Genomic DNA, 27,207 nt, shown 5'->3' with positions numbered 1-27,207 from the left:
ATCAGCGGATGCTTCTACAGAAGAAACCCTACAACATAATCAACTTTGAGGCCATCCCAGCCACAAGGTCCAGCTCAGCTTTCCAGGATGTGAGCATGTCATGCAAGAATATGCATGTTGGTGTGTGGAGGGTAAGCCCTGTGTGAGGGGAAATTCCAAGCAAGACAGAAAGTATCTTGAGTTTCTACAATGTCCAGATGCCAAAATGGGGTCTCCCTACTGCTGCCATATTTGCTGAAGCAACTTCCCCCTTAGGAATGCTGTTGGTCCAATTCCTCAGCCTGAAACAGAGATTCCACAATTTGCTTCTTTCAGGGCAAGAAGGGTTTACCTATGAATCCAACGCATGACCTTTATTGCGCTTGATACTACAAAGTCCTTGTGCATATGCCTAAAATCAGACCAGCCGGTCCCCAGTACACTCCCTTTTCCTAAGCATTTTCTAAAGACAGAATTCATGTTCCTGTCCAGCAAGAATACAGTCTCTCAGCTACTCCACATAAAAAACAAGCTAAAAAGACAACTTTTTTTTTTTTTTTTTACTATTTTACATATCAGGCTGTGACACTCAAACAAGTAGGTAGGCTGTCCTAATATCAAGTGTGATGTAAAAAGTCTGCAACCGGAATTTTCCTAGTGACCATTAAGACTCTCATTTTCAGTGGGCTCCACAACATCCTCCTCATCCGCCTGTGTCCCCGAGCGCAGGCCACCCCAGATGGGCCAGGCAGCAGTGAAGAGCCCTCTCTACAGCTCCACCGCCTAGGAAGGCTGGGACCTCAGGAGGTCGCGTGACCTCTCACATCTACTTCCTCACTTGTCATTGAGGGGTTTTAGTTCTATGAGATAGCTTTGGTCTCTTTCTGTTCTAAAGAAAAGACGTAACTCACTCTTCTATAATAACAGCTACATTTTAAGCCACCACAGACCTCATCCTTTTGATGACAAAAATGCCTTGCCATGCATTCAGGTCGAGTGATTAAGCCTTGTGGAGAAGGGGCCGTTATCTTGGTCAACGCTTCCGCACACCGGCTGGGCCGTCTGTCTGACGTGCCCCCAGCCCTCAGGTGCTGCCAAGAGCAGCCACCTGGACCACCTTCAGCCCTTTCATCGCGGACAGAAACTGCACTTCCCATGCACACTTCTCAGCTTACTTTACAGAGTTAAACTTAAATCACCGGAGGTTAATTAACCCATTTATGCGCAGTGTTCCATTATTGGAACGCTAAGCATGTGGGAGTTATTTATATCCTACTGCTCAAGGTCATTGCCAAGGTCTGATTTTTCACACGTCTGCAATTCAAAAAATTGCAACCTCCGGCATAAAAGGGTTTAAAAGGAGAACCACTGAGACAAATCTGCCATTCCAACTTCAGAAACAACTGAGTGACTGCTGACCTGGTATTAAAGTGCTCCTCTGGCCCCAGAAGCCTGTGAGCCTGACTCCTATGTGATCCCTAAGGTTGGACAGTGCCAGGAACAAAGCGTTTTCTGGAACCTAAAGCAAGGGGGGAAAGCCGCATTTTTAGAAAGTTTAAAAGTAAAGTTTACATGTAGCTTCAAAGGGGTGATCAGTGGAAGTGACAATGACTAATGAGATAAAACTGCCACCTGAAAATTAACATGCAATGCGGAAACACGGAGAGGGAAAGGGACATTTATCCAAGATGTCTTACTTAGAGAGACAGTCAGACTTTGTAAAAGAGAAAAGTATTCTAAAGTTATGATTTAATCCAGAAATGCACCAGAGATAACCCTTCTCCTTGTTGCTCTCCTTCTGTGACAGCAATGACAGGCTGGTGTGCACAATATTTCCGATATTTTTGCCCAACTAGACACTGGCCTGGCCAGCTCATTTGTATGGGGTTTGCATAGGTTTGCATAACTTCTACATGAGGAGGTGTTTGCTCCATGCATCTATCCTTAATTCAATAATTTCGGTATCTGTTCAGAGGTGGTAGAGGGGAAACAGAAGCCATAAAATAATCACAGTCAAATACTGCTGATTTAGAGAAAGCACACAAACACACACACTCACACAGGAGATTGGCTACAGGTCGTCTATGTGGCAAAACGTCACAGCAGCAACCTGGAATATTGTCTCCTCTCCTTTTACCCCACCCAGGACTAAATGAATATGTCTAGAAAAGGGTGAGTTTTCCAAAAATTGACCACAGGCCATAGGAAAGACATAAAACCAAATTACACATTTCAGTGCTTCAAAGACTGTCAAAAACTGTAATGTAGCCAAGAGCTCAACCAGTGATTTCAAGTTTGTGTTTTCAGCATGCATCCACCTTTTAAGTTAAGATGTCAGCAGTGAAGGTTCACAGCATTCCTGGGACGTGGTGCTCGAGCCCCAGAACCAAAGCTCGCCTGCCTCCAGGGCATTCTCTCCAAGACCTCGCTGAACTCGTGGAATCCGCATGGCCTCCGTCATCGTCTCATTTCCGGGCATCCCCGGGGTTGGAAAACTCCTAGATCTCTCTCCAGTGGCCTTTGTGCCCTGGAATTATTGAGGCAATTCAGTAACGGGATCGCCAATGAAAAACTTGTATCAGGAGTGTTGATCTCCCACAAAGTAGAAGGCCACCTACTGCTGCCTCATTAATTGCAAAATAAATCCTCCATGCAATAACCAGAAAACACTGTGCTGCTAAGTGAAGAAAGCAGAAACCAAGAAAGATCTTTCCACGCCTCATGGTATTCAGTCCCTCCTAGGGCTCCCTTATGCTTCAATTTCTGCACCTAGAGGCATGATTTGTAAAGGTTTTCAACATTTCCATGACAGAACTGGGCCTGAGAAAGCCCACCCCAATGGCATCCTCTCTCCTTTCTCAAAACGTACTGGAGATGTTTCATTTCATGGGATATTGTAAGGGCTAACCCACAGCCTACGGATGGGAGAATGTCTAGAATGTTTCTAAATGCCAAAAATATTTTATAACTCTAATGTTCCTGACCTGCCATCATCTCAAGCCACATAACCATCTGAATTAGTGGGAGAAAGTGACAGGAACAGAGCGCAGATCACAGGGCCACAAATATGCCCAGGGCACGCCCAGGCATTGTGCCAGCAGCCCACCCACAGACAGTCTATGAGCACAGCAAGGTGCACCCAGTGCTGCTGTTTGCCACGTGCCACTGAAGCACCCAAGCCAGTGAATGAGGAGAGTAATCTGGCCTGCAGACATGCTCTACCATTATCTCCATCCACCCCACAGCCAGACAGCCGGCAAGCTCCTAGAGGCCAGGGAACTTCTGAATCCCACAGTGCTTCACTGACCCCAGCTGCACCTCTGAAGGGCACACAGCAAATGCATGTGGACAGACTACACTAAAAACACCCAACTTCTGTTTGGTAGCCTAGAAGGGAAAATTTCGTTTCACTGGGATATCTTCCAAAATTTCATCAAATTGGCTCAAAAAGTAACCAAGCAGTCAGCCCAACAGATTTCAGGGCCATATTTTCCTGGTAAATGAAAAACGCCCCATGCTGGGACCTCTGCTTGGTATACCCAGTCAATCTTAAGCATAAAAAAGCACAATCTTCAAGAAAAATTGTACGCTCAAGAATGCAAGAGAAAATTACATTGGTCATGAAATGGCACATTCTAATTCCTCAGAAACATTGCTTCGTTAAAATTCAGGAGTTTTTAAAGATCGATCACACTTATACTGATGAGACCCTCATTGTTCCTGAGAGTCTTCAGATCTAGTTGTGGCTTTGGGGTAACTCAGCTGGGATTCAGACGGGCCAGCCTGCAGAGCCTACTGTGGGCGAAGGAAGAGCTGTGCCTGTGAGGAGGTGAGAGGTGCTCCAGACACCCAGGGACCCGGCCAGGTCCCCGCAGCTCAAGCTACACGTTCTGCAACCACAGCCCGATCATCACAGCCATCTGCGCCTCACCCTCTGCAACTGTACAATTTGATTTGTCCAAGGCTTTTGCCAGCGCCAACATTTTATAGTTTCCTTCAGCAAATACTCAATAACTATGTATTGAATAAATAAGTGAATGAGTGAATGAGCTTCCAAACTAACAATTGCTTTTGCCTTCCAACACCTCTGTTGGTGGCAGAGGGCTTTGTGGCTGATTATGTCATTTGTCATTTTGTTTTCTGGAGCACAACAGATTGAGCCTCAGTTGGAGAGGTGTAAAGACGTCAGCAAACAGACCGGCTGGGGAAGGAGAGGCGGCGTGGATGTGTGTGCCACTCTTCAGACACGCTCCTGAGCAGATACTGTGCTGTGACTCAGAGGCCCAAACTCCATCCAGACTTGGTAAACAGCCTGTTTTAGGTTTATTTAGTTTTGCTATTGATCATAAACTGAGAAAATACTTCAGAGTTTAGTTAGCCCCAGGAAATTAAAATCCCCATGTGTCACAAAAGAAGGGCTGACTGGGCCCCTGGGCAGAGCTGCCTTTCTCTCAGGAAGCCACGGTGCAGAGCAGGGCCTGCGGGTCTGTTCACTGGGGTTGAAAGTGTGGTCCTTATGTAGACTGCACCCTCAGATATTCTTATAGGCCAATGATCTTAGAGGCAAAGTCTGGTATAAATGAACTGTGATTTAAATTAATGGATAAAAGGTGTTTCTGTTCTTCTGGTATAATCTAACTTCTGAGAATGCACCAGCACCTGACTTCTACTTTAGTTTTATATCTCACTAAATCCACAAATCAGGAGTAGCTCACACATCTGAAGGTAAACAACAAAACTCTTTTAAGATACCCTAATTTTTTACATGTGCAAGAAGCAGGTGCCAAAAAATGCCTAAAACAAACGCAGATCTTTTTTTTTTTTAAAGAATACCTGTCTGAAGAATAAAGAAAGAAAAACAAGCAAATGAAGAAAGCAAATTAGTGGAAACTTTCAATAGCTATCAATTCTTCCAGCCAAGCAAAAAGTGCATAATTTAGGGTTCTATGGTTCAGGATCATTTTACCCAGAATAAGTTAAGATATATTGAGATAGTTGGAGAATGCTTAAGATATAAACAACGATTAATGGACAGGAGGCTGCTACAAACTCTGAAACTATCTGCAAGCCAAACATTTTAGGTATGTAAAAGGTTAACTGATACTTTTCTATGGAAAACCAGGGACAGGAAGGAATCCCCAGCCCCTCTTCCTCTTCAAGGATCAAGGCACTGAGGACCCTGAGAATTATGGGGAAACAGAATCATCTAGTTTGACAATAACCAGGGGGAAGAATGGGTGCCCCATCAGCAAAGGGGAGGCACCAACTACCCAGGCCCTGCCGGCTCCTCCAGCTGTGCTCAGATGGGAGGACTGAGGTCTCCCCACAGGGTACAGCCCCACACAGTTACTGAGCCCACCACGTCTGCCCACACAGTAAAACTCCCCAACAGGGTATGGGAAGGGCAGGAATCTGCTGTCCTGACCGGAACATCCAGAATGTTCCCATGGTTCTCCTAGAGGCTGCTGAACCTCTTCCAGGAGCCCCCAATATCACAAGGAAGGCTGAGATATGATGGGATTATTCTTCATGTAGGAGGAAGCCTATTCTTGAAGACAAGTCTTCACCTCTAGAAGCTCGAGCACCCAACTTCAGCAAGAAGGAATTTACATCTGGCATTCTGCAACCCAGCTGTTCTCTCCACCTCCCATCTCTCCACGGCAGTCCCAATGGCTCAGGACTGGACACAGCTGGGTCTGTGGCTGAGCATAGAGACAGACGGCCCCATAATTTTAGCAATGACTCATCTCTCTTTTACTTTGCAAAGTATGACAGTGGCCAGCTAGCAAACTTCATCACAGTCTTATTTATGCTTTCTTCACTGAAGCTCCCAAAAGATGGAGTCGGTGTTTTTGTTCAACTGTAAATTAAAGACAGATGACACTCCTGAAGATTTCGTGTTAAGTGATTAGTCAAGTAACTGGCCATATAGTACTAAATTCTACTTATATTTACACACTTATGAATCCTTGAACAGTTCAATGTTCTGCAATCTACAAAATGCTTTTACTCCCTTTAACACTGTTAGTCACCACAAATAGTCTAGGCCTCAAATAATCTCTCATTTCCTCAGTTTATACACCTATGCAATGAGACAAATGAGAAAGTGAATATGATGTGATTTAAGTCCCTAGGAACTAAACCATTATGCGTGCTGGAACTGAACAATTTTACTTTTAGAACTCAGAAGACTGACACAAGAGCATATTCAAAACAACTGCTAAACAGCTCCAGTGCTGGGACCTTTACAGCCATGTGGAAAATACCAAGCAGTGGAGCCTTCTGAATTGTTGCAAAGAGGAACAGAGTCCCAGCTCCTTATGAGGCCTGACTGGTGTTTCTAAAAGTCCCCAGATGTCAAAATGCCTGAAGGCTTGGGGCTTGGATGAGGCTGTTTCCACAGTGCCTAAGTTCTCCTGCCAAAGCTCTGTGCTTGTTCATTTCTTTCCTAGGTGGTGTTTTAAGTGCTTCTAAGTAGGACAGTCATATCAGGAGGTCCTCATGCTTTGCGGGTGTCATCACAGTGCAGAAGGTGCGGTCAATTGCCATGGTCTGTGGGGCTGCTACCGTGGCCCCGTGACTCACCTTGCAGAGTGACCACGGTCTGCAGGGCTGCTACCGTGGCCCGTGACTCACCTTGCAGAGTGACCACGGTCTGTGGGGCTGCTACCGTGGCCCCGTGACTCACCTTGCAGAGTGACCACGGTCTGTGGGGCTGCTACCGTGGCCCCGTGACTCACCTTGCAGAGTGACCACGGTCTGCGGGGCTGCTACTGTGGCCCCATGACTCACCTTGCAGAGTGACTTCTGCATGGCTTTTCTTTCATAGTCACTATATTGCGCTAACACCTTTACAGATTATTTTTAGATTGTTGAAATAGAATTTTTCAGCAATATTTTAACTTGAAATAGCCAAAGTTGTGTATCTGGTCCTATTAGCAACTAAATTTTTCTTTACTATAAATTGGACACAATTTTAATATAAACAACTCTAATATGGATAGCTAAACTAATCTTTCAGTTTCAATACACGTGTCCTTTAAACAGATAGGGAAGAGACCTTTATCAGTGTAATTTTGGCTAAGCTAATGGAAGGTGGCTAAAAGGATATCATTTTCCTTTATTCACCTGAAGTTGAGGTTGGGACATTTGCCTATTTCATTCTGCATTACATTCAACTCACATTTATCTAGAGGATTATAAAACTGCCAGACATTTTACTGATTAAAACCACCACCCAAATATTACAATTAGGATTACTACAGAAGTAAATCCTCAGTTCAAAATGTGAAAGGAATACAAATTAGTAATTGTTCCCATTCCACCTTCTTCACGGAATAGAGTGATCACTTTGGAGAGGATAATAGTAGCATCTGGTCATTTATCTGACGGCTTCTACGTTTATATGAGATTTTCTAAAAATACCTAAACACCCAAATTACTAAATTAAAACTAGTTATGCAGGTACATTTTGCCTTAATGTCTTTGCCTCTTGTGAGATAAGGTTTTTAACGTTTTTCTCTGTATTGAACCAATGTCAGTATTTTCTAGTCATTCTTCCACTAATTATTCTAAATTGTAGGAAGCTTATATTAATTACTTGCATTTTCTCTGAAATAAATATTTGATTACCAGGTTTCAATTGGGACTAAATCCAATCCTCATAATAAGTGTTTCTCTCTCCATCCATCCACACTAAGTTCAATGTGAAATCAGAAGAGTGTAGGAATAAGAATTTGGGCACCTCCCGCCCCACCCCATAACCTGAGGGCAGACAGTGGAGAAGGTTACAGAAGCCCACACCATAGGGTGGCGCCGTCGTAGTCACCAGCCAATTACTTATCCAGAGGATGTCCCCACCCTGCACCCACTCTCCAGAGGGAAGCACCGGGTAGTTTCTCTTTATCAGATACAACTCAAGAGATACAGAAGGCAAACTCATTTCAACCTTACTGTTTAAACTCATGGCCTTCAGTGATCCTCCTACCTGGGCTAAACGTTAAAAAGTGTTAACAACTGTTTTTTGAAAAATCATGAAAAACAAACAAAAACTTGATAACAGAACAGATCATCCTGATTATACTATAATAAATGTCATTACAGCACCAAGATCAAGACATCTGAGTGTATCTTTCTGTACTTTATGGGACAGTATTTCATAGAAAGATATACTAAGATATTTGCAGACTTCTCCTGCTCTCCAGAGGGCTGCTTTCTTATTTCCTCTACGTCCTGGTGGGGATTGTGCTGTTGCGGGTGACACCAAGTCTCTGTGTGTGGTGACTTCTCCCAGCCTGACTGCTTTCTAGCCAATCTCCAGTCATTTCCCCACATTTGCCCTCCAGACGCATCCAGCCACACGGGCTGGTCCAGGCTCTCCACTCGGAGTGAGCGCCACCTCCTAGGCTGCTGTCTCCGCTCAGACCACCTTCTCTTTACCCAAGACTGAAGCCCAAAAGTCACTCTGCAATCCACCTTCTGCCCCACCTGCCCTGCACATTCCAGCTACCAACACAATCGGCGCACGGATCCCTCCACCCCAGGCCTCTTCTCCACAGCTGTTGCTTCAGCTCAGGCCCTGTCCCCCAGGCCAGGGACAGCTCCTCACTGTCCTTCCTGGCTGGCCCTCTCAGCTTCCGTCTCCTTCTCCACTGACTCCCACCCTCAGCCACCAGACTCAGCTTCCTAAACACGCATCTAATGACACTGTCTCCTCTGAAAAGTGCAGTGGTTCCCACATCGTATGGGATAATCTATGCAGAGCATTCAAAACCTCATGGCGCCAGGAGGTCGAGGCCAGCCCGGGCAACATAGTGAGACCTCATCTCTACAAAACATTTTAAAAGTTAGCTGGGCATGGTGACACACACCTGTATTCCCAACTACTCAGGAGGCTGAGGCAGGAAGATTGCTTGAACCAGTAAGTTGAGGCTGCAGTGAGCTATGATTGTGCCACTGCACTCCAGCCTGGGTGGCAAAGCAAGACCCTGTCTCTAAAAATAAATAAATAACAAAACTCTATAGTTTGACCCTAACTTTCTTTTCCAACTGTATCTCTAGCTCTCGTCTTCCTGTTCCAAGGACAACATAATATGAGTCAGCTTTAAAATGGAAGGAGATTCTGAGATAGGCTCCAATGTGTGTGAACCCTGAAGACTTTATGCTAAGTGAAATACACTAGACACAAAAGGACAAATACTGCATGATTCCACTTATGAGGTATGTAGAGCAGTCAAAATCATAGAGACAGAAAGTAGAACCATGGGTGTCAGCGGCTGGAGGGAGAGGGAATGCAGAGTTAATGTTTAATGGGTACACAGTTTTGGTTTGGGAAAATGGAGAGAGTTCTGGAAATGGATGGTGGTGATGGTTGCACAACGTGAATGTACTTAATGCCACAGAACCGTACGCTTAAAAATGGTTAAAATATACTGTTTCCATAGCAACTGAACCATTTTACATTTTTTCCAGCAACACAGAAGGGTTCCAACTTCTCCACATTATGTATATCTTACCACAGTTTTTTTTAAAGGGACAAAAAGTTTGAGAAACAAAGTTAACAGTGTGCTGTGAAAGCTGAGTTGAAGGACTGGCTTGAGTTTCCCCCACCATTCTCTAACAAGGGTGCAGCCTTGACTTCCCTACCACAACCCCCGAGTTTCAAGAAAGACATGGAAAAATGTGGACAGCCCCAGCAAACCAGATCCCAGGACAAAAAGAGGGAAACTGTTAAAGCGTCAGGCTAAGCAGACAGACCCCAGACCCCTTGTGCACAGCGGAACCCTCTCCCAAGCACTGAGCTCACTAAGCTAACCCAGCATCGCCACGAAGCCTCCTGCAGGAAGCACGCCAACTTTAAAATATTATATGAATTTCAAGAAGAAAGCCTACAAAGGAAAAGCCCAGCAGACACCTCCAATGGCCCCCATGTTAAGTTACACAATTGACAACAGAATCCTGTCCCCTGACTGTCCTCGGCAAGCCTGTCCATGTCACCCTCTGCCCACTCATGACACCTCCAATCTGACCATCACTGAAGTGACTGCCCCAAGCCAAATGAACCACACACCTTGTGCTCCACTGCAAGTGCTCTTAACCCTTTCTGGAGGTCAAAACCCTCCTGAGAATCCTATCAAAGCCCTGGCATTCTCCCCAGGAACTGGCAACATTTCAAGGAATTCACAGATGCCCCTGGGCCCCTGGGGCTTACAAACACTGTCCCAGTGCCTGTCTCCTTCACATTTCGCTTCTGTACTGCACTTGAGAGGGACGCTGCAACCTCCCTCCATTTGTAAGAACTATATAACAAATTTCAAGAATCCCTCAGGACTCTCTTTGAAAGGGCAGCCCACGCCCCCAACCAATGTCAGGACGTCAAGGGGAGGTCGTCTCACATCGGCTTGAGAGGCACAGCCCGTCCGACATGCCACATCCCCAAAGGACGCCCCTCCCTGCGACTGCCCTCACAGATGCACTGATGTGACTTATGGGGACTGCTGCGATGCAGTCTGTTAACACTGGCACCAGCTGCCACGGGCGAGTCATCTCAGGAACCTGACCTTGGCAAAGCGTGTTTCACACTCGAGCACAGCTCATCCGGGTGGCCTCGAGCAGGGGCAGGAAGGCGGAAAACGGACAGGGAGGTGCTGGGGTGCACTGCCCCCCAAACCGCACCAGAGGACTCACCTCACCCACACAGGGAGACCAAATCCTCAAAGCCAAATTTTCAAGCTGCTGCTGAGAATCCCATAAAAAGCAATGCTATTTCTAACCTCCCGCACCACGGAAAAATACACACACCACCAAGCAACCCAGAATCTGAGGGTTTATTTTTACATCTTTTCCCCACATCCCCCACCCTGGCCTCCCCCACAAAATTTTAGGTGGAAAATTTGCTGGCTTTTTAGCAGTTTGACAATGCTGTGCTAGGCATGAACTGACGGAGCTGCTAGCGCATTTGAGTTTAAAGCAAAGCGTCAAAGTATTTATCCCATATGACTCCACAGGTCTGCTTGATGAGAAACTAATAAACTCTAATCACAGAAGACAGAATCCAACAAGCAGGCGGAGACGAGGCCCAGGTCTCAGGCCATGGGCAGAAGTGGCAGAGGTGGTAAGTTTCTCTTTCCCACCTCTGAAAGTGGTGTTCCCACCACGGGACTTTCTTCCTGCGGGCTGGCATTCTCTAATCCAAACTATGAACAAGGGCATTCGGCATCCCTGATGCCCTTGCTGCATTTCTGATTTTCTCAATGCCACTCTTAACCCTTGATTTGGTTTGGCTGTGTTGCCACCCAAATCTCAACTTGAATTGTATCTCCCAGAATTCCCACATATCGTGGGAGGGACCCAGCGGAAGGTAATTGAATTATGAGGGCCTTTCCTGTGCCATTCTCGTGATAGTGAATTAGTCTCACGAGATCTGATAGGTTTGTTTCTGCTTTTGCTTCTTCCTCATTCTCCCTTGCTGCCGCCCTGTAAGAAGTGCCTTTTGCCCTCAGCCACGATTCTGAGGCCTCCCCAGCCATGTGGAACTGTAAGTCCAATTAAACCTATTTTCTTCCCAGTCTCGGGTATGTCTTTATCAGCAGGGTGAATATGGTCTAACACAGTAAATTGGTATCAGTAGAGTGGAGCACTGCTGAAAAGATACTCGAAAATGTGAAAGTGATTTTGGAACTGGGTAACAGGCAGAAATCAGATCAGTTTGAAGGGCTCAGAAGAAGACAGGAAAATGTGGGAAAGTTTGAAACTTCCTAGAGACTTGTTAAATGGCTTTGCCCAAAATGCTGATAGCAATAAGGACAATAAAATCCAGGCTGAGGTGGTCTCAGACAGAGATGAGGAACTTGTTGGGAACTGGAGCAAAACTGACTCTTGCTATGTTTTAGCAAAGAGACTGGCAACATTTTGCCCCTGCCCTAAAGATTTGTGGAACTTTGAACTTGAAAGAGATGATTTAGGGTATCTGGTGGAAGAAATTTCTAAGCAGCAAAGCATCCAAAGGTGACTTGGGTGCTGTTAAAGGCATTCAGTTGTATAAGGGAAGCAGAGCATAAAAGTTTGGAAAATTTGCAGGCTGACTATGCAATAGAAAAGAAAAACCCATTTTCTGAGGAGAAATTCAAGCTGGCTGCAGAAATGTGCATAAATAGCAAGAAGCCTAATGTTAATCTCCAAGACCATGGGGAAAATGTCTCCAGGCCTTGTCAGAGACCTTCACAGCAGCCCCTCCCATCACAGGCCCAGAGGCACAGAAAGAAAAAGTGGTTTTGTGGGCTGGGCCCAGGGTCCCCGTGCTGTATGCAACCTAGGGACTTGGTGCCCTGTGTCCCAGCCACACCAGAAGTGGCTGAAAGGGGCCAACATACAGTTCAGGCTGTGACTTCAGAGGGTGGAAGCCCCAAGCCTTGGCAGCTTCCACATGGTGTTGAGCCTGCGGGTACACAGAAGTCAAGAATTGAGGTTTGGGAACCTCCGCCTAGATTTCAGAAGATGTATGGAAATGCCTAGATGCCCAGGCAAAAGTTTGCTGCAGGGGCGGGGCCCTCATGGAGAACCTCTGCTAGGGAGCCCCCACACAGAGTCCCTACTGGGGCATGGCCTAGTGGAGCTGGGAGAAGAGGGCCACCATCCTCCAGACCACAGAATGGTAGATCCACAGACAGCCTGTACCGTGTGCCTGGAAAAGACACAGACACTCAATGCCAGCATGTGCAAGCAGCCAGGAGGAAGGCTGTACCCTGCAAAGCCACAGGAGTGGAGCTGCCCAAGGCCACAGGAAGCCACCTCTTACATCAGTGTGACGCGGATGTGAGACCTGGGATCAAAGGAGATCATTTTGAAGCTTTAAAATCTGACTGCCTCGCTGGATTTTGGACTTGCATAGGCCCTGTAGCCCCTTTGTTTTGGCCAATTTCTCCCATTTGTAACAGCTGTATTTACCCAATACCTGTACCCTTATTGTAACTAGGAAGTAACTAGCTTGCTTTTGATTTTACAGGCTCACAGGCAGAAGGGACTTGCCTTACCTAAAATGAGACTTTGGACTGTGGACTTCTGGGTTAATGCTGAAATGAGTTAAGACTTTGGGGGACTATTGGGAAGGCAAGATTGGTTTTGAAATGTGGGGATGTGAGATTTGGAGGGGTCAGGGGCAGGATGATAGAGTTTGGCTGTGTTCCCACAAGTCAACTTGACTTGTATCTCCCAGAATTCCCACGTGTTATGGGAGGGACCCAGGGGAAGGTAGTTGAATCATGGGGGCCAGTCTTTCCCATACTATTCTCATGATAGTGAATAAGTCTCATGAGATATGATGGGTTTATCAAGGGTTTCCGCTTTTGCTTCTTCCTCATTCTCTCTTGCTGCCGCCATGTAAGAAGTGCCTTTCGCCTCCCGTCATGATTCTGAGGCCTCCCCAGCCATGCAAAACTGTTAGGTCCAATTAAACCTCCTTTTCTTCCCAGTCTCGGATATATCTTTATCAGCAGCATGAATCCGGACTAATACAACCCTGAAGTTGAAGAATCGGGGACAATGGTGAGATGGAGCTTCAGAATCCAGTCCCCTGATGCTGGGTAGACAGAGGTCCGGGAGGAGACAGGAGGTAAGAGGAGACATGGGAGACACAGAGAGGGGTCCCAAATAAGGCTGAAGAACTCAGAAACTCTTTCAGAAGCCAAGGGAGACCCCTGAATAGAACCCCCAAACCTGGGATCCCTCCCAGGATCCCAGCACTGGCCACCTTGGTGTCACTTCCCTGATAGCAACCTGAAAGGCCAGCAGAAGCTCTGACCCACAGCTTCCCCACTGCCCATGCAGGTGGGAAACCTCGGGGCACCCCCTGCAGGAACCACCTTCAAGGCTGAGTTTCAGTCCTCCTCAAGTTAGAAGCCCCCAGCATTAGATGGTCATTCACATGACAACTCCAATTGTCTTTTGTGGGTATTTTTTGTTTTTGTTTTTGTTTTGAGGGGGGTGGAGGGCGAGATTGGAGACAGGATCTCGCTGTACTGCCCAGGCTAGAGTGCAGTGGCATGATCATAGCTCACTGCAGCCTCAAACTCCCAGGCTCAAGTGATCCTCCCGCCTCAGCCTCCTGAGTAGCTGGGACCACAGGCATGAGCTACCAGGCCCAGATAATTTTTTTGATTTTTTAGTAGAGCTGAGGTCTCATTATGTTGCCCAGGCTGGTTTCAAATTTCTGTGCTCAAGCGATACTCCTGCCTTAGCCTCTCAAAGTGCTGGGATTCCAATTCTTTTTGTTTGATAACATTTTCACGAGTTAATCTGTTTTATTGCACGGTGCCGAAGATCACTTTATACACACATCTGGTGAAAATAAGCAGGACTCTATTTACCAGTGTAGACAGCAGGGACCTATATTCAAAGGTAATGATTGCTTCTCCCAGTACTATTGGTCCTCTTTGATTTTACCTTAAAAAGTTTAAATTGAGCAAAGATAGAAGTTCAGGTCGGGATGCATTGCCTGGGTCTAAGGTTATTTTTTCATTGTTCCAGTGTGTCTCCCCACAGGGACCACTGGTCTCACACTGGAAGACATCCGCATGGTCCCTGGTCTGCACCGGTGCCTTCAGATCCCTTAAGGACCAAGAAGAAAACCAAAAGAGAGGTGGAGTTTTCTCCAGCTGCACCTTTCCAGTCTGTGCTGACAGCCAGCCAGATCTCAGTCTGAGGTTGCATTGTCTTATGCGGAGGTCAGGGAATGGTGCAGGGAGCCTGAATTAACGATTTCTTTGCCCACACCCCAGTGCCTTTGTGCTTAATCACGTCAGCAGCACTCCCCCACACGCTCCAGCAGGATGCCGTGTGAAATTCCTTAGCAAACTTCCGTAGTCCTGAAAGAGGACAGAGAGAGCAGGACCTCTGCTATTTTCCTCCAATCCCCCCAGCACACAGATCACAGCAGAAAGCCAGCATTAGGGTGGAAAATAACAGCCAACATGTTGTTGAGTGACGACTGTGCATGGAATGCTGAATTAGGCATCTTCAAAGTAATTCCATGAGATAAATATTATCCCATTTAAAGATGAGAAAAGCTGAGACTCATAGAGGGTTAGGACTTGCCAAGGTAACAAAGTGAATGAAAGTTACCACGCCAGAACTCAACCCAAGGTCTGTGGCTTCTGAGTTCCCCACACAAACGCCATATGGCAAGGGCATATGTTTTCAGATTCATCGAGGAGGGAAAAACTCAAAAGTGCATTTAATAACAACCTAAACACGGGGACCAGGCTGCATTTTAAAACCAAGTCCAAATAAATCCACTGTACAAGGAGACAGGCACATCCTGCAGTTAACGCAAAGCTCTAGGCCTCCTTGGGCCCTCCCAGGCAAGCAGACAGAAAGCAGAAGAAGGCAATACCACCTGTCCATTTTATCAGCTCTTAGGAATGTCTCACAGTCCAGCTGTGAGCTGCTTAAGGGACAAAATTTTGCAAGTAACAGAGCAAATATAAATTCCAGGACAGTCAGCTGTAAGAACCTATTTTAGAGGTGTGAAAGTTCTTACGACGCCTCGCAATCTAAGTCTGTGCTTGAAAATTGCCCATGACGATGAAGCGCCACGCAGTTCTGCAGAGATAGTGATTTCTTCTTTAGCTGCTCTGATTATCAGGAGAAGCAACGTAGCTCTGTATTTAATTTAAAATCCACATATACCAGTACAGTCAAGACAAAGTTTTCCATTACCAATTTTGAAAGTTGCTTAAACTAATTGATGAGTGAGGTAACCCCACATAAGGGGGAAAATCAGATACTTATGTCATTTGCAAGAATTATTTTTACTTTTGCTGAAATGTTGTAACTCAAGTTTCAGTCTTCGGGGGCATAGTCCAGTGGTGTGTTCCGCTACCTAGTAAAATTCTACTTGAAGACAGTGCTAGTTTTTGGTGGGTCAATTCAATGGCAACTGTATTTGAGACAATAAAAGAGAAATGAAACTGCACCCACGCTTTTGTCAGCCCTGGTAGAGAGGCGCTGCCGCCGCCCACTTCAAACTGGCGGTGGGTGTGCCAAACGATGGAAGAAAAACAGCTCCTCCACACCCACCAAGCCAGCGAAGAGCAGGGATTTTCAAACACCGTGCTGTTCTGTCAGGTTAATAAAGGGATCGTGTGAATAACAAGCATTTAGTCAGTCACTGAACATCCACAAGGCGTGCGGTCTGGGTGTTCCCCGTGAGCTCTTTCCACCCCAGCTTCCCGAGAGCCAATCGATTGGGCATGAAATTCACTCAGGAGAGAGGAGAGAAACACACGAGCTCAGCAGTGGAGGAGCTGCCCCCACACAGAACCCAGGCGTGGTTTGCTCTGCCATGCATACTGCTTTGCACCCAACTGTAAAAAGTCCATTTACATTCCAGGGTCTGTGTGCCTCAGCAAGGAAGCACCACAAATCCTCCTGGATTCTCCAGGTGCCTCCTCTGCTGCCAACAGCAACCAGAAAGGAAAAGGCTGGGTTATGCTCCAAGAGCTTCAGGGGGGATTCCTCATCAAGTTGTTTCATTTGCCAAAAGTTTTATCGAGCTCCTGACACTGCAGGCACTGTTCTAGACCCTGAAGAAAAAATAAATGGAAGGAAGGAAGACAAGCGGGAGAGAGGGAGGTCCTTGCCCTCATAAGGCTTACATTCTAGAAAGGGATTTCCCATAAGCAATGAGTCCCACCACCAGGCACATTAAAAATATAGGGAAAAAAATGGACCTTATATTTTATAGAATGTCTTACCTTCCTGAAAATTCTCATGTATTTCTTCACTTCATGTTCTTTGACATCAAGTGAAGCCTGACAATGAGACAGAATAAGCATCACTAAAATCACAGATGAACTGAGAAAACATGGCGTCTCGAGCGGAGCAGGGCATCCTGAGGCCAGAGGCTGAAGCTGGCATGCCAGGTAGGGGGCTCTGGGCATCTCCCAGCTCTGCCACTGACTGTCCCCCACCAGGGCTGGCTCTGAAAACACACAGGTGTCACCCAAGCTTCTACTGTGAATAGATACCCAAGCCCCAGCCATTAACATCCAGCCCCAAAGAAGAAACACACAAATGAGGCACACCCTTGTCAAAACAAACGCAGCCAGACAGGTCCACCACTGCAGAGCAGCTCCTGCCGCGACAAGCTCTGCTTCCCAGACATCATCACAAAGAACAGTCACAAGTAATTCCACTTACCTTTTACACTATACAGAAACTGATGGGAGTTCTCGGAAATGGCCCAACAGGAGGTTTGATGTCACGAACGTAGAGCTTGAACCGCTAGAAAGAAAGATGAAGAACTTCTGTGAGCCATGTTTCTTTTTGTGTGTCCCCCTCTCAAGTTTCAAAAACAGTTAAATATTTGAGGGCTGTCACGAGAAGAGGCATAAATATCAAAATGAATACAATAAAAATGCAATAATAGGCATCAAGTAATAAAGGGAAGGAAGAGAGAAGAATTACAGCACAGAATTACCAAACTGGGACAAAATCCCCCTCTGCCTCCACTCAGTCACAGGGGCACCGAGTCCTCATCTGTTAAAGGACACACGCTTGTTCCTGCAGAGGCACGGGCCTCCTCTTTGATGAGAGGCCAAATAACAGATAGTATCCCTGTTGGACTGGTCTTCTTAAAATTCATACACACTCTAAAAGCTGTGAAAAGACCATCTTCTTTCACGACAATCCAGTCTCAAGACAACATGGGCCCACCTAAGACGGGCAGGCCCCAGTGATTCCTCTGCTGAAATACATGTCTGATTTCATGGAAGAGGCAAGCCCTCTAGCAGTGACACTGCTGGGATGGTAACGTTCGTGACTCTGCCTGCAAGGCTGCCTTTACCTGCCCACCATCCTGTTAGGAGAGTGTCCTCCCAGCTGGTGCTTCAGATTTTGTCCATTCCATACAACCTGTCACTGGCATCCCCATCCCAACTGAGTGAGCATGCTCTGTGGGCATCGCACCGTCCCAGGTGGAGCGCCGGGTATCCTCGGGTGACCGCCTCGAGCTCCAAAGCAGTTTCAGGTGAACTCAGCAAAGCTCGGCCTCAGACACCACAAGCGCCTCTCAGCACCCCGCCCTCCAGTGTGCAGGACACACTCTTGTCCAAGGGGGACTAAGCCACCATCTGTCTGGCTTGTGTGCTGCAGTTCATTCTCCAGGAGGCTCGTACCCCAAAGCGTGCTCCTGCCATATGCCACTCCTGAGTGATCAGCCCATGTAAAGACAGCCGGATAAAACACGGCTGCACCTAGCTAGAGGAGCCTGGGAGATTCCTGCGGAGCTCTACCCCAGCCAAACACCTCCTTCCCATCAGTGTTGGGAGCCTACAGACATTCCTTTCTCCTCCTGTTTCCTGCCTGCTGAGAGATGAAAACAACCCACTGCTGATTTTCCAGATCTTAGTTTTTATTCCTCCACTGGGGCTGCTCTCACCAGTCTTCCTAGGACGCAAACGCTCAGATTTCTTGGGAACGGAAGTCCATGAAATAACCAGAAAGGTACTGTGGTGGGCAGAATTCTAAGGTGACTCCCCAAATTGCTTACACCCTGTACAACTCCCTCCCCTTGAGTGTAGGTGGAAGCTGTGATTGGCTTCTACCCAACCGAATACCACAAAGAATGCTTCTCCCCACACCAGGCGACCTACATAGGAGTCCGCAACGAGGGAGTGACAGACTCCCTTGCTGGCTTGGAGAAGCGAGCTGCCACCTCATGATGGGGCCTGTGAGGGGCCACTTGGCAAAGCACTACAAGGGCTCCCCAGGACCTGAGAGCAGCCCCTAGCTGACAAGCAGCAAGGGAACAGGGACATCAGTCCTGCAGTTACAAGTCAATGAATTCTGCCAGCAACATGAATGAGCCTGGAGGTGGATTCTTCCATACTCAAACCTGCAGATGGGAACACAGCCTGGCCAACACCTTGACTACAGCCTGACCAGAGAACCAACTAAGCCATGCCTGACTGTGGAGCCTTGGAAACTGTGAGATAACAAATGAGTACTGTTTTCAGCTCCTAAGTTTATAATAATTTGTTACACAGCAACAGAAAACTGATAAATGTAACTTAGTAATTAGGCCAGGTACGGTGGCTCATGTCTGTAATTCCTGTACTTTGTGAGGCCGAGGCGGGTGGATCAGGATGCCAGGAATTCAAGACCAGCCTGGCCAACACAGTGAAACCCCATCTTTACCAAGAAATACAAAAATTAGCTGAGCGTGGTGGTGCACACCTGTAGTTCCAGCTACTCGGGAGGCTGAGGCATGAGAACCACTTGAACCCAAGAGGCTGAGGTTGCAGTGAGCCAAGATCGACCCACTGCACTCCAGCATGGGCGACAGAATAAGACCCTATCTCAAAATAAATAAATAAATAAAATAACTTAGTAATTAAATATGGGTTACATAATATAAAGCATATATGCATATACTAAACGCATACACATCTGTACATTAGAGCAGGCCTCTGCCCTGCCTCATCTACCAAAAGTGGAAATTCATTCTCCTACTCAACTTTTAGCTCCTTGTGGGCAAAAACCACATCCCCGTCATCCTGGCATCCCTAACACTTTGCAGAGTATGTGGCACATGGGAGGCCTTTAACATTTTTTTTATTCTTAATTTTTGTGTGCACATAGTAGGTATATGTATTTACAGGGTACATGAGATGTTTTGATACAGGCATATAATATGAAATAAGTAAATCATGCAGAATGGGGTATCCATCCTGTTAAGCATTTATCCTTTGAGTTACAAACAATCAATTACACTCTTCAATTTTAAAATATATAATTAAGTTATTATTGACTACAGTCAGCTTGTTGTGCTATTAACATTTTTTTAAGTGAGCCAAAGTAATAGAACTATGATTTGCCAATGTCTAGTCACAAAAAGGCCACAGCAACCGAACTTATTCAAGCCTTCAGAGTAGAGCCCATAGCTCTGAATTTCAAAATAGGTTGAAGATATTTGGCTTCATGTTCTACCCCAAAAGAATGAACACACAACTTCTCCAGCACTGATTTCATTTTACCAGTGAACCTGAGTCAGTGCTTAAAATGTCACTCAGTAGTTATTACTTTTGTCAAATATCCTTGCCACTTCTCTGGCATCTACTTATCTACAGTTCAAGGTTAAAAACAAAAAAGCTCCCTAAGAGAATTTCCAAAGTAAGAATTTGTGACTCATTTTTAATTTTCCATTAGTATCAATAAATCTTTCCTTCCCAACTAAAGTGACAAAACCTGTATGGGTCAAAAGACCAGGCTCTAATTCTAAAACAAAATGCCAATCCAATTTCCTGGCAACCTGTTTCAAAATTTCTTCTGGATTTTTTTTTTTTTTTGAAACAGGGTCTTGCTATGGTATCCAGACTACAGTGCAGAGGCTGCTCACAGGCACAATCATAGCTCACTGCAGCCTCAAACTCCTGGACTCAAATGATCCTCCTGCCTCAGCCTCCCCAGTAGCTAGGACTACATGTGCACACCACCATGCCCAGCTCTTTAAGATACTCCATTTTTAAACTGATGATTTTTAACTATTTTAATCAAGACTTTAAGCTCTGTTGAAAATAATAATTCAACACATACACAGTTCCTGCTACCCAACATTGTGTCTATTTTACATTCCAAAGGGACTACTTTTAATAACAGTGATATTTGAAAATATTTAAATCAATACAATTACTTAAAAGAGTACAAAAGAAAAACTTTATTCATTACAGAAACCTGTCACACTCCCCTGAAATCTACATTCAGGACTGTATGATATATTCCCACTTCTTCATCAATCACTCAGCAAACGTGATCATCGTCTCCACGCTTTCTCCCTCATGCTTAGCCTCGCAGGCAGCAGGATTCTCACACCCAAGCCAAGAAAAACTAAAAACAGCAGTTCCATGACACGAGGCAGAGAACTGCAACAAATTCACCTCTTCCTTTCAGCATAACTTTAACTCTCTAGCTGTGAAAATAGACACTGACCTGCTGCTTAGCATCCCCTGTGTAGGGGCCAGCAGGGAACTGGAGGGGTCACTGGCCGACCCCTCCCCAGGTCCAGCCAAGAGATCAACGGCTCCAGGTTACAGCACAAAGACAGACCTGATGCCCCATCCAGGCCTCCTCCCTCTGTTTTAGTAAACACAGGCTTTTTCCATAACCTCACCAAACACAACTCAACATCAAGCCCAGGCCTCCAAGAAAGAAGGCTGAGCAGAAACACTAAGCCTCCCGGAAGGAAATCAAGCCTTCAGAAGAAAGGTTCATTCAAGAGGAAGCCACCGAGGAGAGCCAGCAAGCACAGCCGCTCGCTGAGGAGAGAAGAGAAGGCACTGGCTGAGCTCCTCACACGCCATACCCTATGGCACCAGGCATCGGGGCATCCACACGTGGGTTTCCAACAGCAGGGTCCTGTGGGGCTGCCGATCTCACTAACCCTAAACCACCTCCTGAATGACACGTCCCAGACACAGCTGTGAGCCATGGGCCCCTAAGAAGCAGAGCAAGAAGAGGCAGAGTGGGTGGAACTCCTGAAAAGGGACAGGCACCACCTCCCTTGCACCAGGACAGGACTGCATGAGGGGCTGGAGGATGGAAAACCCTGAAGGGAAGCAGGCGCGCTTATTCTTCATCTTTACGGTGTTCTCACTCTCTAAGGTAAAGGAAGATGGGAAATTTGTTTGGGCAAAAGTTGAAGAGAAGCCTGGCCGCAGGCTTCTGGCCTTTCTGGGGAGCAGGACTCACTCCAGCTGGTGGCTGGGTCCTGGGAAGCAGAGCCATTTAAAACACAAGGGGCTGGGTCCGGCAGCTCACACCTGGAATTCCAGCACTTTGAGAGGCCAAGGTGGGAGGATAGCTTAAGTTCAAGACAAGCCTGAGCAATATAGCAAGATCCTGTCTCTATAAAAAAGAAAATATTAGCCGGATGTGGTGGTGCGCACCTATAGTCCTATCTGCTCAGGAAGCTGAGGCGGGAGGATCTCTTGAGCCCAGGAGTTTGAGGCTGCAGTGAGCTATGATCACACCACTGCACTCCAGCCTGGGCAACAAAGTGAGACCCTGTCTCAAAAACAAATAAATTAAACACAAGGAGGCCCAGAGACAGAGTGAAGAGCCATCTCAGGAAAATCATAATGGGACAGAAAACACACGGAGCAGCTGGTGACATATGAAATAGAAAAGAAAGGCACCCTTCCCAAAACCAACCTTGCTTTATGATGTTTTTTTCAGAAACATTGCAGATGGACCCACCCCATCACCACAGATGCAGTAACCCACCTGATTTTTGCATCAGGGACAGTGTCACATCATAAAATGCACGTGTGCATTCATTCATGCATTCAACCTGTAAATGCCACATCGTTTTTGTTTTGACAATTTTCTAACATCTTTACTAGCTGATGCACCACAGCTCCCTAGCTTCTCTCTCTCTCACAGGACTACATTATTCTGAGTAAATTGAAGCCAAGACAGACTGACCATAGGTGCGTCTTTCCTAGGGCCTCATCGGCCAGCACCAGGAATCTGCACTCACTGGGTCTGGCCTCAGTGAAGAGCTAGCGGTCATGGTAACCCCAGTCAAGAGCAACAGGAGGTCTCCAGCTGTCCCTGAAGTGTCCCAGCTGGGTCTACAAGGCTGCCATGCAGAGTGACCATGCACTGGCCATGGCTCCTACAGGCTGCATAATGCCTCTGTCCCCGCAGCAGCCTAAAGCATGACCGCCTGTGTCCTAACAAAGCTGCAGCAAGCATTTCATCAGCGCCTTTCAGATTCGAGGAACACATACGGAGCACGCGGCATGGGGTGATACCCAGGGACACTAACGCGGCCAGGAGGAGCGAGACAGAGGCGAAAGCCAGGCACCGTCTGGCAGCTGTCTCGCTGTGTTTGAGTGTTCTTCTCCCCAAATAGAAATGAAAGTCTCTTCAAACCAGATGCAACAGTAAAGTGGTCCAATTTTGCTTGCCGGGAACGAACAAGGAATGGCGATGGCCACCCGGCAAGTCCCCTCTTCTGGAGCACAGAGCACCAACTCCGGCCATTGCTGGGGCACAGTTCAAGTGTCCAGTCTCTTCAAAGACCTGAGTCCCACGACAACCCTCTAGGGGATTTCTACCTGGACCAAGGCAACCCAGACCCCGAGCAGCTGCCACACACAGGTCAGGAGCATCCCTCAAAGTCAGCACTGAGGGCCAGGTGTGGTGGCTCACGCCTGTAATCCCAGCACTTTGGGAGGCTGAGGCGGGTGGATCACGAGGTCAAGAGATCGAGACCATCCTGGCTAACACGGTGAAACCCCATCTCTACTAAAAATACAAAAATTAGCTAGGCATGGTGGCATGCACCTGTAGTCCCAGCTCCTCGGGAGGCTGAGGCAGGAGAATCACTTGAACTTGGGAGGCGGAGGTTGAAGTGAGCCGAGATTGTGCCACTGCACTCCAGCCTGGCAAAGCAAGACTCCGTCTTAAAAAAAAAAAAAAAAAAAAAAAAGCACTGAACAGGAGGGTGGGGTGGAAACTGACTTGCTGGGAGCAGTCCCTGTACCAGGGCTGGTTCAGCTTTTCCCACCCTCTCCCTTCAACCAAGATCTGTCAGTCAAAGCAAAAGCAGTCTATGTGCCTAATGTCAACTAACACTCTCTTGGCTCAAGTGCTCAGGCAGCAAAGTTCAGAGGCCCCACCTCCTGCGCGTCAAAAATTCCAGAGCCATCTACAGGAAGACAGGACAAGGCCAACCTCAGGGAACGCTATCGGCATTCAAGGACTTCACGCAACAGGGGCTTATCAGATAGTGAACATGCCAGGCCCTGTGTCAGATGCTGAGGACATCACAAGGGGAAGAACACTGAGAAGAGGCCTTCGACCCGGACTCTTTGGTCTTCATTGGTAGCTAAGATCTCCTTCGGCAGACTCAAAAAGACCTCGTGAACTAAGTACCCAGAAAGTGCGCTGGAAGCCCCCCAGTGGGAATTGGGAAATGGGCCTTCTACAGGCTCAGAGGGTCCCTCTCCACCCTTCGCTTTCACACAGGCACTGAACGCCTAACGTCACGATGCCAAAGAAATGGACGATCCTACAGTCGTCTACATCAGCAGCAAGAAATCATTTTGGTTACAGTCACTTGAGTCTTAGCTAACCCTCATTAGAGTCTCATTATTTAAGTGTCAATGGTATAATAGGACAGTTCTATATTAACTAGAATGGTTTAAAAATCATGACACCCTATTTCCCAGCATTTCTGAATGGCAAAATGTTTACTGCTCACTGGTGTATGTGTTTAGTTGTTGTTTAGGTAAACTGAGCCAATAATAAACATATATTATTGGTCGTTCTCCTCCATTAAACTATGTTTGATCTTTCCTCTGTAAATCCCCCATAGTAGTAGTCACTGTGTACTTTCACACATTTCAAATGCAATATGTACACATGTATGCATATATACACAGATAATATCCAAATACATATGTACACAAACACACTCTGGGTTGTGGTATTTAAATACACACACACATACATATCACATGTATAACTTTTTAATTTCTAAAAACAATACTTAGTCTCATTATTTGAAATACATTTTCTCTTCCCTTCTGTCAGAGATCACTTCTTTAGTGCTGGCTGTGGTCTCCGCTCCTGCAGAGTTCTAGCCTCCCAGTGGAACCTGCCGACGCCCTGAGGAAGGATCCCTCGCAGCACAACCATGCAGGGTCCAGAAAGCAGAAAGCAGCTAACTGCATTCCGCTCTAGCCAAACAGAACTCACCCCATCTGTATCATCTACGCATAAACTTTGCAAATAAAGTCCTGGATCCAGTACTCTGAAATAACTTAATGAAAACACATTCTACTGCTAAAGTACCTTTGCCTTGGCTTCCAGTGCTGTGATACACTTGTACGCGGTAATGCAAATAGGCCTGGAACGAGCATACTTTGCCCTCTCGACCCGGCCAATTCAGACTCTACACATCTGTAGTGAGCCCCAAGGTTCTACATTTCCTTTTCTTTTTTTCCTTTTCTTTTTTTTTTTTTAAGAGACAGAGTCACCCAGGCTAGATTACAGTGAAGCCATCACAGCTCATAGCAGGCTCTGCTTCCTGGGTGCAAGTGATCCTCCCACCTCAGCCTCCCATGCAGCTGTGATCACAGGTAGGCACGCCACCAGGCCCAGCTAATTTTTAAAATTTTTGTACAATCAGGATCTTGCTGTGTTGCCCAGCCTGGTCTCAAACTCCTGGGATCAAGAGATCATCCCACCTTGGCCTCTCAAAGTGCTAAGATGTCAGATGTGAGCCACCATGCCCAGCCTCCACATTTCTAGCAAGCCCCCAGGAGACACCAGCACAGCGGTCCAGTGACACGGCTCTAGACAGCCCTGGTGTGTTTGCAGATCAAGGTAGCCTGCCTTGACTCCTCTACAAATACTTGTTCAAATCCACAGCAGCAAGAGCCTGCTGTGAAGGCAGCTATTCGAGTGATACCCATAAGCATGTTAACATGGATGTCAGGTGACGGACAGGGCCACATGGGAGGATGGAGGACAGAACATCCAAGGGGATACCAGGAGGAAGGGGTCGAAGAAGGCTGTGAGGACACTGAGTTTGAGAATGAGACCATGCCTGCTGCAGAAACCTATGAACCATTCAAGATGAAAAGAACACATCTCTCTGGAAGGAACTCCCACACTGCCGACTCAGACTGACTCCAAGTGTGAGCACATGACGTCGGACAGCTCGCTAGGGCCCCAGCAGGCTGGGAAACAGGCACGGATGCTACCAGCAGAAGCCACCACGCAAATGGGCTTCCCCTCAGGAAAAAAAAAAAAAGATCATCTACCCCGGTTCATTTGAAAAGACACAGATGCTCCAAATATTCCCACATTAACGGATCATTTTAATTGAAAATAGAGACATGCTTCTACTACCTCATCAGAGCACTAGTTCAGAGCACAATATCTGATTGTAAAGATTGTCACTGTGTGTAAGCCAGCTGCTTACATTTCATTGAGCCAGTGTTTTAAAAAATTACCAAGTTCCTCTTCATTTTACACCATTCTTAGAATATTTCCCAGTATTTTCTCTATGAGACCACTGAAAAATAACCATTGGCATTGAAATCTTGCTCAGCTTGGGAGCCACTATTAACTAGTTAAAGTTTGGACATGCTGCTCTACAAGCTACTAAATTAATAAGGGTAAAAATAAACTTCCAGAAAAGGCAAACCCTACATTAGTTCAGCCCTCTCGCATTCAAAGACATGCAGCCTTTCCTCATTCTTGTGGGTTTCATAAACTAAGAAGCACAGAACACTGTAAACTGATTTACTGGTTTCCATACATGCTGCCAAATTTCCACTTCTGCAAAACCAATTTCAATCAAACAAAAACCCTAAAGTTAATCTTCTAGTTCCTCACATGGTCCAATTTATTCAGAATGCAGGGTAAAAAGTTGGAAGACAAGAAATCAATTGTTGGCGAATAATGTCAATGTTAATTTACTGTCTTCATTTTTTAAATCACTACTTTGTCTCAGGATCATTTCCTCCTCCAAGTTCTGGAAAGTCTTTAAAAAGTGGACACTGCCAAACAATGGCCTTGTTATAAGCCAAAGTTTAGTTATTTTAAGGCATTTACTTTACTGCCTTTTAGCTGAAGTTCTCATGAAAATCTTTCCAAGCCACTAACTTTGTTAAGAATTTTTACAGGTTTACAATATAATACTGCATAGCTTCTAAACATTTCAGGGTTTTACTCTGCCCATTACTTTAGCCTTTAAGAAAGCAGCGAAGTCTGGAGTTAACAACTTAGGTAAGAGAAAGGGACGCCAAGAGGGGAAACGCTGGCAGTGACTTAACAAGGCTGCATTCCAAGGGAACAGCTAAAGGGCAGCCTGCGGTGTGAGGCTCCTTGTAAGAGGTAGCAGAGGCAGTCTGAAGGCACAGCATTTTGCATGTGCTGACTCCCTAAGAGATCTCCCTTCCTCTGCCTTCAGTAGCATGCTCAGATGTGCATATAAAGACCAAGAAGCCCCATATTTTCAGATGCTCAGATGAAACCATCTCCCACTAGGCCAGAATCCCAACAGGGGAGGGAAGCAGGGAGAAGAGTCAAGCCGAGGGGGGAGGAGGGTAAAGGAGGAACTGAGACTAAGGAAAACGGATAGAGAGTCCAGGACAGACTGGCAGGGGAGGCGGAGTGGGCACCATCTGCAGTCCATCGACAGGAACAAAATAT

The 27,207-nt window shown here is 46.4% G+C and overlaps 1 protein-coding gene across 39 annotated transcripts in view, besides 7 other annotated features; it reads right to left on the bottom strand.

Annotated features, from left to right (window-relative positions):
• The window catches only part of LDLRAD4 (low density lipoprotein receptor class A domain containing 4), a 435,073-nt gene that overhangs the window by 357,391 nt on the left and 50,475 nt on the right, over positions 1-27,207 (bottom strand). For 23 of the 39 annotated variants that reach the window (NR_172142.1, XM_047437785.1, NM_181481.5 and 20 more), the window contains exon 2: positions 17,176-17,259. The gene's annotated coding sequence lies outside the window, so the exon portion shown is untranslated. Of the gene's footprint in view, positions 1-16,730; positions 16,788-17,175; positions 17,260-17,821; positions 18,003-18,152; positions 19,111-27,207 lie in introns of those variants that run through there. The other 16 variants (XM_047437773.1, XM_047437776.1, XM_024451260.2 and 13 more) reach the window with 4 other exon arrangements.
• Positions 3,095-3,605: an enhancer, noted in NCBI's record as "H3K4me1 hESC enhancer chr18:13291758-13292268 (GRCh37/hg19 assembly coordinates)". NCBI's record gives its function as "activates a minimal SCP1, AML or CMV promoter by ChIP-STARR-seq in naive H9 embryonic stem cells {active_cell/tissue: H9 hESC(naive)}" and the evidence as "EXISTENCE:reporter gene assay evidence [ECO:0000049][PMID:30033119]".
• Positions 8,495-9,048: an enhancer, noted in NCBI's record as "H3K27ac-H3K4me1 hESC enhancer chr18:13286315-13286868 (GRCh37/hg19 assembly coordinates)". NCBI's record gives its function as "activates a minimal SCP1, AML or CMV promoter by ChIP-STARR-seq in primed H9 embryonic stem cells {active_cell/tissue: H9 hESC(primed)}" and the evidence as "EXISTENCE:reporter gene assay evidence [ECO:0000049][PMID:30033119]".
• Positions 14,152-14,652: an enhancer, noted in NCBI's record as "H3K27ac hESC enhancer chr18:13280711-13281211 (GRCh37/hg19 assembly coordinates)". NCBI's record gives its function as "activates a minimal SCP1, AML or CMV promoter by ChIP-STARR-seq in primed H9 embryonic stem cells {active_cell/tissue: H9 hESC(primed)}" and the evidence as "EXISTENCE:reporter gene assay evidence [ECO:0000049][PMID:30033119]".
• Positions 14,653-15,153: an enhancer, noted in NCBI's record as "H3K27ac hESC enhancer chr18:13280210-13280710 (GRCh37/hg19 assembly coordinates)". NCBI's record gives its function as "activates a minimal SCP1, AML or CMV promoter by ChIP-STARR-seq in primed H9 embryonic stem cells {active_cell/tissue: H9 hESC(primed)}" and the evidence as "EXISTENCE:reporter gene assay evidence [ECO:0000049][PMID:30033119]".
• Positions 15,858-15,967: an enhancer, noted in NCBI's record as "active region_13114". NCBI's record gives its function as "activates an Ori minimal core promoter by ATAC-STARR-seq in GM12878 lymphoblastoid cells {active_cell/tissue: GM12878}" and the evidence as "EXISTENCE:reporter gene assay evidence [ECO:0000049][PMID:35858748]".
• Positions 22,275-22,774: an enhancer, noted in NCBI's record as "H3K4me1 hESC enhancer chr18:13272589-13273088 (GRCh37/hg19 assembly coordinates)". NCBI's record gives its function as "activates a minimal SCP1, AML or CMV promoter by ChIP-STARR-seq in primed H9 embryonic stem cells {active_cell/tissue: H9 hESC(primed)}" and the evidence as "EXISTENCE:reporter gene assay evidence [ECO:0000049][PMID:30033119]".
• Positions 26,700-26,994: a silencer, noted in NCBI's record as "tiled region #6698; K562 Repressive non-DNase unmatched - State 22:ReprW". NCBI's record gives its function as "represses a minimal TATA promoter and a strong SV40 promoter by Sharpr-MPRA in K562 cells {active_cell/tissue: K562}" and the evidence as "EXISTENCE:reporter gene assay evidence [ECO:0000049][PMID:27701403]".

The sequence above is a fragment of the Homo sapiens genome, chromosome 18 (assembly GCF_000001405.40).
Source record: "Homo sapiens chromosome 18, GRCh38.p14 Primary Assembly".
NCBI classification, from domain to species: Eukaryota; Metazoa; Chordata; class Mammalia; order Primates; family Hominidae; genus Homo; species Homo sapiens.
This window is presented reverse-complemented; position numbering and strand designations above follow the sequence as displayed.